We start from the raw sequence: 12,709 nt of genomic DNA, 5'->3' as shown, positions 1-12,709 counted from the left end.
ACATTCTCAAGAAGATCTTAGTAAGATTAGATAAGGCCAGTATTACCCTGATACCACAACCAGATGGACTTTACGAGGAAAAAAAGGGGTTAATATCCTTATGAATGTAAACAAAAGTCCTTAACGAAATGCTAGCAATCTGAATGTCTAGTATTATTAATCTGATAAATCACAATGGTTGTATCATAATAAATATCTAAAATGCTGGTCATATCTTCAAAAATAAGAGTTATGAATAACCGTACGTTAGTAATGATTTTCTATTTGCAATAATATATTCCTAACAAAACAACAGTTTTCTCAGAGAAAATTCATAAAGCAGCGGATTTTTAGCTATTATTATAGTTAGCTGTTACCTTGACTTATTCTTTAAAATATACTTTTTTCTTTTTTCTTTTTCTTTTTTTGAGATTATTATAGTTAGCTGTTACCTTGACTTATTCTTTAAAATATACTTTTTTTCTTTTTTCTTTTTTTTTTTTAGACAGTTTCATTCTTGTTGCCCAGGTTGGCGTTCAATGGCATGATCTCGGCTCACTGCAGCCTCCGCCTCCCAGGTTCAAGCGATTCTCCTGCCTCAGCCTTCTGAGTAGCTGGGATTACAGGCGTGCGCCACCACACCTGACTAGTATTTGTATTTTTAGTAGAGATGGGCTTTCACCATGTTGGCGAGGCTGGTCTCGAACTTCTGGCCTCAGGTGATCCGCCACCTCGGCCTCCCAAAGTGCTGGGATTACAGGTGTGAGCCACCGCGCCCGGCCTATACTTATTTTATTTAAAAAATAGAAAAAATATATTTGTCTTTAGGCTGGTATATTTACTGGCCTCTTAAAAACTGTATTTTTCTTCTTATAGAATGTCAGGCCTCTGAGCCCAAGCCAAGCCAAGCCATCGCATCCCCTGTGACTTGCATGTACACATCCAGATGGCCTGAAGTAACTGAAGACACAAAAGAAGTAAAAATAGCCTTAACTGATGACATTCCACCATTGTGATTTGTTTCTGCCCCACCCTAACTGATCAATGTACTTTGTAATCTCCCCCACCCTTAAGAAGGTACTTGGTAATCAATCTCCCCCACCCTTAAGAAGGTTCTTTGTAATTCTCCCCACCCTTGAGAATGTATTTTGTGAGATCCACCCCTGCCTGCAAAACATTGGTCTTAACTTCACCGCCTATCCCAAAACCTGTAAGAACTAATGATAATCCACCACCCTTTGCTGACTCTCTTTTCGGACTCAGCCCACCTGCACCCAGGTGATTAAAAGCTTTTATTGCTCACACAAAGCCTGTTTGGTGGTCCCTTCACATGGATGCGCATGAAACAGAGAACATGCAAGAATGGCAACCATGCTGTCAAGGGTTCCAACACCTCTCTGGCCAGCTCTCCCGGCTCCTTTCCAGAACGTGCGTTCTCGGTTTAAGCCCAAGGAATCACTCCTGACAGCCTCACGTCAACGGGGTAGTTCTCACGGAGCTTAGGGATCCTATCAGCAACCCTTTAGGACCACACCAGGATAATTTACAGCAATTTTAATTTGCGTTGATCTCTTGCTGCTGTGTTTTTCCTTCTTTCTGTTCCAAGGAAGTATCGATGAAAAGAGTCAAACTCTGTAAAATATTTTAAGAGATTTATTCTGAGCCAAATACGAGTGACCATGGCACATGACACAGCCCTCAGGAGACCCTGAGAACATGTGCCCAAGGTGGTCGGGATACAGGTTGGTTTTATATATTTTAGGGAGGCATGAGACATCAATCAAATATATTTAAGAAATACATTGGTTTGGTTCAGAAAGGTGGGACAACTCAAAGCGGGGGTGTTGGTGGAGGGAGGCTTTCAGGCTGTAGGTAAATTTAAACATTTTCTGGCTGACAATTGGTTGAGTTTGTCTAAAGTCTTGGGATCTATAGAAAGGAAATGTTCAGGGTAAGATAAAAGATTGTGGAGACCAAGGTTCTTTTGAAGTTTTATAGTGGCTGCCCTTAGAGACAAGAGATGACAAGTGTTTCCTATTCAGATCTTTAAAAAGTGCTAGACTTTTAGTTCATTTCTTCAGGATTGGGAGGGCCTGGAAGAAAAAGATCTAGCTATGTTAATAGAGATTCTTTACAGATGCAGATTTTCCCCCCACAAAGGACAGCTTTGCAGGGCCATTTCAAGATGTGGCAGAGAAACATGTTTTGGGATGAAATATTTTGATTTTTTTTCCTTGTCTCATAATGTTATTCCAGAGTCAGATTGGAAAGTAGGTCACGACATAAAGGGTCAAATAAAACCCATCTGATGAGAATTTATGGTTTGTAGGGCATGATTCGCCCAGACCCCTTAGATAGAAATTTGGGCAAGATAAAAAAATTCGAGCTTAGTCCTCAGAAGCAAGATTTTACCTTTCATTGCTTCAGGGGTTCATGAAAGGCTTTGGGGACCCTGAGCCAAGAGCAGAAATCCCAGGTGTCCAGGGGAGAACGCCCATCCCATCATGTGGGAAAGCCAAAGGCTCTCAAAAGATGGCAGTAAGCCAGAGTGAGAAAGGGGTTCTGAGGCTTGGGAGAGCCAGAAGTGAGAGAGGTGCCTTGGGCTTCCCCTGAGACAGGGCAACATGGAAGTATGGGGATTTCTGCCTTTAGCAGACAACCCAATAGCACCAGCATCACAGGGCGGGACTCCACATTACAGCAGCTTGATGCCATAGACAGTGGCCTGGGTGGCGGTAAAGGCCACTCACCCCAGGCCCTTGGCCAGTGAGCACAGCTGTGTCGCTTTGTCACCCAAGCTGAGCTGTTTCCATCCTCTGAGATTCAAGAACTCTGATTTATCATTCCTGGCAGATTTCTTTAGCCAGGCACTTTAAAAAAAAAAAACCCACAAAAAACAAAGGAATTAGCTGGTAAGAAGCAAAGATACAGTACGGCTTAAGGATACACAGATTTAATAAATGTGTAATTTAAGCATATAAGCGCAGCTAATCCACACATTCGTATTACACAGTTGTGGGCTTAGGTTTACTGCCAACTTCCTCTCTTGGGGAATTAATCACCTTCTTACTTTCTTAATTTTTTTCCTGTCTTTTTAAAAAGTTGATTCAATGATATATGATTTTGCTTGATCTTTTGAATAACTAATCATTGGTTTGTTTACATTTTCTATTTTTTGTTAGTTTCTATTTTGTTCAATGCTATTCTGTTGAACAACTTACTTTGTTCCTTTTCTAAATCCTGTAATGAGATCTAGTTTATATCCTCTCTTTGCCTTCTTACCAGCATATGTATCTAGAGAAACCTATTTTCTTCTAGATAAAACCTTGCACTCACGAATTTTGATGGGTGGAGTTTGCTTCTTAAATGGTATGTTATTAATGTTTGTGAATATTCTCTGTGATTTCATTGCTATTGGGGAAGTGTTTTTAAATTTAGTGTGACTATTAAGGCTTTTGGGGTCACTGGGTAACTAGGCAAAACTAGAAAGTACTGGAAGGATCCCTGGGCGGCTCCTAACAGTAAAGGAAGAGCCCAACAATGGCTCTCAGGACGCAGGTGTCTGGCAGCCCGAGGCCTGAGTCCACTAGAGCCCGTGGCTTTCATGGGGCTCAGCTGGAGACTTCTCAAGCCTCAGGGGTTCTCTGGGCCAGGGTTAAACTCCTGGAGATGAAATCTGATTGGCCCAGCTTGGGTCAGATGTCCACTTCTGGGTCCGGTGGGAAGAGAGTTTTACAACACAGACATGGCCTGCCTCTGAGGGTCACTGGGGTCACGGAGTGGAGCACTGTGAACTGGGCGGCTACACCTACCTGTTCACCATGCAGTGACTGTCACTTTCCCAGGGAGGCCTCTGGACAGTTAACTTCTGTCTGCTTCCGTTCTCTCACCTCTAAAATAAGGCTAATAAAAATAATACCTACTTTGTGAGGTTATAGTGAAGATTAAATGAGTTAATATTTGTAAACACAGAAAAGAATGCCTGTTACATGATATGCTCCTTGTGTTTGCTCTTCTGTTTCTAATTCTATCATCGTATGGTCTATCTGTGTGTATATATATATATATATATATTTTTTTTTTTTTTTTTTGAGATGGAGTCTCGCTCTATCTCCCAGGCTGGAGTGCAGTGGCTCAATCTGGGCTCACTGCAACCTCCGCCTCCCAGGTTCAAGCTGTTCTCCTGCCTCAGCCTCCCTAGTAGCTGGGACTACAGGCGCCCGTCACCACGCCCAGCTAATTTTTTTTTTTTATTTTTAGTAGAGACGGGGTTTCACCGTGTTAGCCAGGATGGTCTTGATCTCCTGACCTCGTGATCTGCCCGCCTCAGCCTCCCAAAGTGCTGGGATTACAGGCATGAGCCACCGTGCCTGGCCCTGTATATTCTTTTTTATTTCCTTGAAATATTTTTTTTTTTTTTTTCTGACAGCATCTCACTCTGTTGCCCAGGCTGGAGTGCAGTGGTGTGATCACAGCATATTGCAGCCTTGATCTCCCGGGTTCAAGTGATCATCTTGCCTCAGCCACTCGAGTAGCTCGGACTACAGACATCTGCCAACACACTGGGCTAATTTTTTTTATTTTTTGTAAAGGTGGACTCTCACTTTGTTGCCCAGGCTGGTCTCAAATTCTGCGCTCAAGCAAAAATCAAGCAATCCTCCTGCCTCAGCCTTCTAAAGTACTGGGATTACAGGCGTGAGCCACTGTGTCCAGCCCCTTGAAAATTCTTAACCTAAAATATAATTATTTGGGGTGTGAGAGTATACATTTTTAAAGGGTACATTCTCTAATTATTTTTTAATTTTTATTATTTTTTTTTGAGACAGAGTCTCGTCTTGTTGCCCAGGCTGGAGTGCAGTGGCTCAATCTCGGCTCACTGCAACCTCCGTCTCCCAAGTTCAAGCTGTTCTCCTGCCTCAGCCTCCCGAGTAGCTGGGATTACAGGTGCATGCCCCTACGCCCGGCTAATTTTTTTGTATTTTTAGTAGAGACGGGGTTTCACCATGTTGGCCAGGCTGGTCTTGAACTCCTGACCTTAAGTGATCCACCTGCCTTGGCCTCTCAAAGTGCTGGGATTACAAACGTGAACCACCGCGCCCGGCCATTCTCTAATTTTTTAAATGGAATTCTCTGTAGCTGTTGTTAATTCTACCTTATTAATGGTGGTGTTCAGCTCTGTAATTTTTGACCATTCTTTTATTTGATTTGCTATATTCTGAAAGCAGGGTACTAAGGAATCCAAGTAGAGTTTCATTCTATTTCTTCTCAGATATCTGTCGTCTTTTCATCAATTTTTTTTTTTTGCTACCAAATGTGTGGCACATAATGCTGTGTTTTCATTACTTGCTGTGCCTTTGATCATTCTGATGTGTCATTGTTGATAGCTCCCCACGCTTTTGTGTAAAGTCTGTTGTGTCCGAGATCATGATTAAACCTCCTGCTTAGGAAAGTCAAATACCGCACTTACAAGTGGGAGCTAAACAATGGGGTACACATGGACACACAGAGTAAAATAAGAGACATTGGAGACTCCAGAAGGTGGGAGGGAGGTGAGGGTTCAAAAACTGCCCATTGTGTGCAGTGTTCACTGTTCGGGCGATGGGGACACTAAAAGCCCAGACTTCTCCACGATGCGATATATGCATGTAAGAACCTGCGCTGGTCCTGCCTAAATATATACAAAGAAAAATTCCATTGTAAAAACAACTATTTCTTACATTTCCTCAGGGTGATTTTAGTCTGCCTTTTTTTTTTTCAAACTTGTCTTTGGATCCATCATATCCTTGGGTTTGGGTTTTAAAGCCACTCGGGGACTCTTCCTTTTCAGAGAATTTGGTTCCTGTGTAACTGTGACATGGAGCTATCCTTCATCATTGAGGATGTTTTGCTTTGTTGAGATGTTCTTTATGGAACTCAGATGTCACCGGGCCCTTTGTCCCTGTTGCTGGATCCGTGTTTGGCTGTGCACTGCCTGGATGCAGAACTCAGCTTTGCCTCAAACACACACACATGCACACATACATACACTCATGCACACACACATGCACACATGCATATACACACATGCACATGCATAAACACACTCATGCGCACACACTCATGCACACACACTTATGCACACACGCCCATGCATACACATATTCCTGCACACACACATGCACACCTTCATGCACACACGCATACACATTCGTGCACACATTTATGCACACTTATGCACTCATGCACACACGCACACAAAACCACACGCATACACACATGCACACACACGTGCACACACTTATGTACACACACATGCACACACACAATCATGCACATGCACACGCATGTCCCCCCTCTCCCCACCACCCAACAAGACCACTAGGGATCCATGCATCCTCCCTGATGATCAGGAGAATGAGAGGCTGGCCTCCAGGCCCTGCCCACAGCACCACACCATCGCACTCCCCTTTCCAGGCGGGCGTCCCCTGGCAAAGCCTGCGCCCCACAGTTCCTTACCTGCTTCTTCTAGTCTCACCTCCCACCCCAAGCATTTATGGAAGCATTTCTCCCAAAGCAATTATTCGAGTTTATTCTTCTTCACCTCATTTTATCTGTATTACATTTCAGATGTTATAAATTAGGTATAGCCACTCCTATCTTTCAGGTGAGATCAAGAAGCACATCCAAGTTTGAGATCCACTGGTCTAGTGAACTTTTTAGCACTTCCAAGTTTAATAAATTCAGCACATGACAAATATAACTTAATCATCTTCTTTGCTCCCTAAAACCTCAGCCATCCAGGTAAAAAAAACTTTGGGCCAATCTTCCTCCACCCCTATCGGGCCCCACCTTTCAAGTCTAGCCAATGACCATGTCTTGTTGCATCTCTTTCCGTAAAACAACCCATCTCTGTCCCATTGTCTGGTCTCCAGCCCCTCTTCCTCCAGGCCCTGAGATCTTTTCTTCTAGACTGCTACATCATCTTCCTGTTTGCCCTCCCAGCCTACAGCCTGCCCCTCTCAGTGAAGCTGGAGGACTTTTCCAAAACTCCAAATTTGACCCTATCTCCCCCTGCTGAGAATCCTTCCATGCTCCTCACTGCCTTCAGAATTGGATCCAAAGTCTTCCCATGAAATGCAAGATCCTTCTTATGCAAACCCTGCCCACCTGCCCAGCCACAGCCTCCTTCTGTACTAAGCCGCAGCCACCCGCCTCACTTCCCATGTCCCTGAATGCTGACCCTCCTCCCTCTGCCAGAAATTCCCTTCTCCTCTTTCATTGCCTGGATACCTCCTCTTTACCCTTGAAATTTTGGTTAAAATCCCCTCCACCCCACTGGGAAATCTTTTCTTCCTGATCCGTTCCTCACCTCTTCCTATAGCCCAAGTAGAGCCCTATCGCACCTGTTAGCTGTGGCACCTGTTACCTGTAACATCTGTTTGCTGGTTCATCTTCCCTGTAAGTCCTGTGAGCAACCTGAGGACCAAGATTGTAAACTTGACCTCTGAGTGCCAGCTCCTAGAAAGAACACCGGCTGCTAGAAGGCACTCAATAAATGGTTGCAGAATAAATAAATGAGTGAGACATTCGTGTTGCTATTTATGGATTTAAAAAAATGGTTGAAGTTCCTTTTGAGGGATAGTTGGTTTCATCATCTTATCCCTGATCTTTGTCAAATAATTAAGGCTTTTATATCTCTTTAGTTCCCTTTTTATACCTTGTTGCTATATACCATATATTCCATGAAGACGAAAGATAATTTGCACCATGAAACTTTTCCCACTAGTCATCCTGACAAATTTATCTTTTCTGAGTCTACTTTTGAAATGCAAATTAAATTGTCCATTTTTAATGATCCTTGAAATGAATGATTTTTAATGGTAGCCCTTTCTGTTCCTGAGGATTTATAAAGGTTGCTCTTCTACTTTCAAAGCAGAACAGCTTGACAAGGGAGCTGACCTGGGATGGTAATGCTTGGTCCTAATTGCTCTGTAAATATCTTCTCTGATTTTTCAGTTGTAAAATTGAGGTTTTATTGTCTTTGTGTCTCTGAATGGTAGCTGCTTTACTCTGTAGCCCGTGTTAACCTTTTAAAAACATTGTTTAGCTACGGAACATAACAGTAAAAACAACCCCATTTATAAAGCTGCAAATAAGAGAAACAACTTAGGAATAAATTTAACAAGACATTGCATGTAGGGGCCGGGCGCAGTGGCTCACTCCTGTAATCCCAGCACTTTGGGAGGCCGAGGCGGGCAAATCACGAGGTCAGGAGATCGAGACCATCCTGGCTAAAACGGTGAAACTCCGTCTCTACTAAAAATACAAAAAATTAGCTGGGCGTGGTGGCAGGCGCCTGTAGTCCCAGCTACTTGGGAGGCTGAGGCAGGAGAATAGCGTGAACCCGGGAGGTGGAGCTTTCAGTGAGCCAAGATCGCGCCACTGCACTCCAGCCTGGGCGACAGAGCGAGACTCTGTCTCAAAAAAAAAAAAAAAAAAAAAAAAAAGACATTGCATGTAGGACTGCGATTCCACACTGCCTTGAGATCTTTGGTTCTCAGGGGCCTCAAAGGCTCCACCATGAGTTCCCTTTATCTTGCAAAGGCTCCCCATCTTCACCCAAACAAGCCGATCACATCCTCCCATGGGAACCAGGGGGCACCTCCACCCTTTGTTACTGTGAAGTCTGCCTCCCACAGTCCCTGCTGGTTCGCTGTTCCTGCGGGCAGCTCCGGGTGGCTCTGCATGGCAGGCAGTGTCCTCTTCCCCTGGGCTGTGAGCATATGTGACTAATGAGCTGCTCCCCTGCTCATCTGTCCAGTGTCAGGGTGACACGTTTGGTGATCACAGGCTGTTTAAGGCAGGGAATCCCTTCTTCACCAATGGGGTAAACAGGAGGAGAGCAGAACAGATATGTGCACGGCTTATATGACAAAATTCTTAAAAAACTCCTGAAAGACACGAAAATAGATGAACAAAAAGAAAGACATCCCCTGTGCTTGGATAGGATGACTCAACATTTTTAAAATGTCAGTTCTGCCTAAGTTAATTTACAAATTCAATGCAAGCCCACCCAATAAGAATACCAACAAGCTATTTTATAGAGTTGAACGATGTGATTCGGGTTCTACGGAAAACAAACATGCAAGAATAGCAGGGAAACAGTGATAAATAAAGGGTAGATTCACTCTATCAGACATTAAAGTATAGGCTAAAGCCACTGTAATTAAAACAGTGTGGTGCTGACACATAAATAGGTAAGTAGACAATTGGAATAGAATGAAAAGTCCAGAATTAGTCTCAAATACACAGGGAAATTTAGTATACGACAAAGGTGGCATCTCAAATCACTGGGGGAAGAATGGACTTTTTAATAAATGGTGCTGGGACTATTACATAACCATTTGGAGGAAGAAAAAATTAAACTTGCATTTCACTCCATACACAAACACAAACTCCAAATGGATCAAGACTCTAAATGTAAAATATGAAAACATACAAAGTCTAGGTGAAAAAAATGAAGTGAATTTCTCTTTAAGTTTGGTATAACGAAGGACTTTCTAATTATGACCCCAAATCCAGAGGCAATAAGTAAAGATTAATGAACTTGGCTATATTAAAAAAATGGAATAACAATAATAACAAAACACAAACAAAGTCAAAAGACAACTGACAAGGCTGGGCACCATGGCTCACACCTGTAATCCCAGCACTTTGGGAGGTCAAGGCAGGAGGGTTGCTTGAGCCCAGGAGTTCAAGCCTAGCCTGGGCAACATGGTGAGGCTCTGTCTCTATGAAAAATACAAAAATTAACCAGGCGTGGTGGCATGCGCCTATGGTCCCAGCTACTTGGGAGGCAGGCTGAGGTGGGAGGATCACTTGAGCCCAGGAGGTAGAGGCTGCAGTAAGCCATGTTCTCACCATTGTACTTCAACCTAGGTGATGGAGTGAGACCCTATCTCAAAAAAAGCAAAATGAAACAAAACAAAAAACAAGCAAAAAAAAAAAAAAAAATACTGCTGACCAACTGGGAGAAAATATTTGTAACATATTACAGAAAAGGCCAATATCCCAATATATTATACTAAAAACAACTTAAAAATTAAGGGACAAAGGACTGAAAACACAACAGAAAGAAGTGGAAAAGATACATGCAGACAATCCACAAAAAAGGGATATAAAATTTTCCCTGAAACATATGAAAAAATGTCCAAATTCACTCAAATTAAAATAACACTGACATATTACTTCTTAGCTATCCAAGTGATAAAAATTTTAAAATGTAGCAACATATTCTATTATCAAGGTTGTGGAGAAACAGGGACTCTTACATATTGCTGGTGGGCCTGCACTCAGGCATTCTCCTTCTGGAGAGGAACCTGACAGTATCTGACAAAACTACATATGCACTTCTACTTTTTTGACCCAGCAATCCAGCAACTCCACTCCTAGGAACCCACACTGCAGATATACCTCCAACAATGTGAAAATACATACGCACACGATTATTCACTGTAGCATTGTTTGTAATTGCAAAGCATCAGAAACAACCTAAGTGCCCATCCATAGGGGAGCAGTTGAGTATAGTAGGTTACATAAGGAGTACTATACAGCTGTGAAAAAGAGAGAGGAAGCTATGAACTGGTAGGGAGTAACTTCCAGGACATATTGTCAAGTAGAAAAATCAAAGAGTAAAAGATTACGTGTAGAATGCTAAATTTCATGCAAAAAAGAAGAAAATACGGCCAGGTGCAGTGGGTCACACCTGTAATCCCAGCACTTCGGGAGGCCGAGGCAGGTGGATCCAAAATAAATCCAAAAATATTTTGTATATTTTATTTTATATTTTATATACATTTCTGTTACATTAGGATTGGAGACAAGTTCTGTTTAAAAATAAATCCAAGAATAGTTTTTATATTTTATTTTCATGTTGAAAATCAGTCAGATTTGCTTTAGCCTTAAAGAGTATGTTTATGTCAAATTAAATGAGCACTGACGGAGAGCTGCAATTTTTTTTTTCTAAACAGGAAATGAGTTAATTAAAAATACTTTATGGCTAAAAAATGCTAATGACCATCTGAGCTTTTAGCAAGTCATAATTTTCTTTTTCTGGTGGAAGGTCTTGCCTCGATGTTGATGGCTGCTGACTGATTAGGGTGGTGGTTGCTGAAGGTTGGGGTGTTGGGGTGGCTGTGGCAATTTCTTTCTTCCTTTCTTTCTTGTTTTTTTTTTGAGACGGAGTTTCGCTCTTGTTGCCCAGGCTGGAGTGCAATGGCGTGATCTCGGTTCACTGTAACCTCCGCCTCCCGAGTTCAAGTGATTCTCCTGCCCCAGCCTCCCAAGTAGCTGGGATTACAGGCATGTGCCACCACATCTGGCAAATTTTTGTATTTTTTAGTAGATATGGGGTTTCTACATGTTGGTCAGGCTGGTCTCGAACTCCCAGCCTCAGGTGATCTGCCCACCTCGGCCTCCCAAAGTGCTAAGATTACAGGCGTGAGCCACCGTGCCTGGCCCGGCTGTGGCAATTGCTTAAAATCCTATATAATGAATGACATAGTATATTTTTGCATGTGTATGGTGCAGTGCTTGGAATGTGTGTATTTTTTTTTTTTTTTTGAGACAGAGCCTCTGTTGTCCAGGCTGGAGTGCAGTGGCGCAATCTTGGTTCACTGTAAACTTCGCCTCCTGGGTTCGAGCAATTCTCCTGACTCAGCCTCCCAAGTAGCTGGGATTACAGGTGTGCACCACCACACCTGGCTGATTTTCATATTTTTAGTAGAGACGGGGTTTCACCATGTTGGCCATCATTGGCCAGGCTAGTCTTGAATTCCTGATTTCAGGTAATCCACCCACATTCGCCTTCCAAAGTACTGGGATTATAGGCATGAGCCACCACACTGGGCTGAATGTGTGTATTTTTTAAAGAACAGGCCAGGCACAGTGGCTCACGCCTGTAATCCCAATACTTTGGGAGGCAGAGGCGGGTGGACTGCTTAAGCCCGGGAGTTTGAGACCAACCTGGGCAATCTAGCAAAACCCCGACTCTACTAAAAATACAAAAATTAGCTGGGCATGGTGGCACATGCCTGTAATCCCAGCTACTCAGGAGGCTGAGGTGTGAGAATCACTTGAACCTGGGAGGCGGGGGTTGCAGTGACCTGAGATGGCACCACTGCACTCCAGCCTGGGCGACAGAGTGAGACTCTGTCTCAAAAAAAAAAAAAGAAAGAAAGAAAGAAAGAAATCAAAAAACAAAACAAACAAACGAAAATTGGCTGGGGTTGGTGGCTCATGCCTGTAATCCCAACACTTTGGGAGGTCGAGGTGGGCGGATCACCTGAGGCCAGGAGTTCAAGACCAGCATGGCCAATATAGCGAAACCCTATCTCTACTAAAAAACACAAAAATTAGCCAGGCGTGGTGGTGCATGCACCTGTAATCCCAGCTACTAGGGAGGCTGAGGCGGGAGAATCGCTTGAACCCGGGAGGTGGAGGTTGCCGTAAGCTGAGATTGCGCCACTGCACTCCAGCCAGGGTGACAGAGCGAGACTCTGTAACAACAACAACATCCACATTAGCAATCCTCTCGAGCCTAATTTACGTGAAAGCTCCATTTTGGATCTGGGTCTACTCTTGGATTACATCATTCTGGATCATGCACAGCCCTGAGCAGAGGGAAATCCTTTGCCTTCCAGGTGCCAATGCCCTCTCTGATTCCCAAGCACCAAATTGGTAATGGGGTGTG

General features: G+C 43.3%; 1 annotated feature.

The window, feature by feature from the left end:
* Positions 1,080–1,676: an enhancer, noted in NCBI's record as "H3K27ac-H3K4me1 hESC enhancer chr13:98713754-98714350 (GRCh37/hg19 assembly coordinates)". NCBI's record gives its function as "activates a minimal SCP1, AML or CMV promoter by ChIP-STARR-seq in primed H9 embryonic stem cells {active_cell/tissue: H9 hESC(primed)}" and the evidence as "EXISTENCE:reporter gene assay evidence [ECO:0000049][PMID:30033119]".

This window comes from Homo sapiens, chromosome 13 (assembly GCF_000001405.40).
Source record: "Homo sapiens chromosome 13, GRCh38.p14 Primary Assembly".
NCBI lineage: Eukaryota > Metazoa > Chordata > Mammalia > Primates > Hominidae > Homo > Homo sapiens.
The sequence above is the reverse complement of the archived record's forward strand: the minus strand, read 5'-3'. Positions and strand labels throughout refer to the sequence as shown.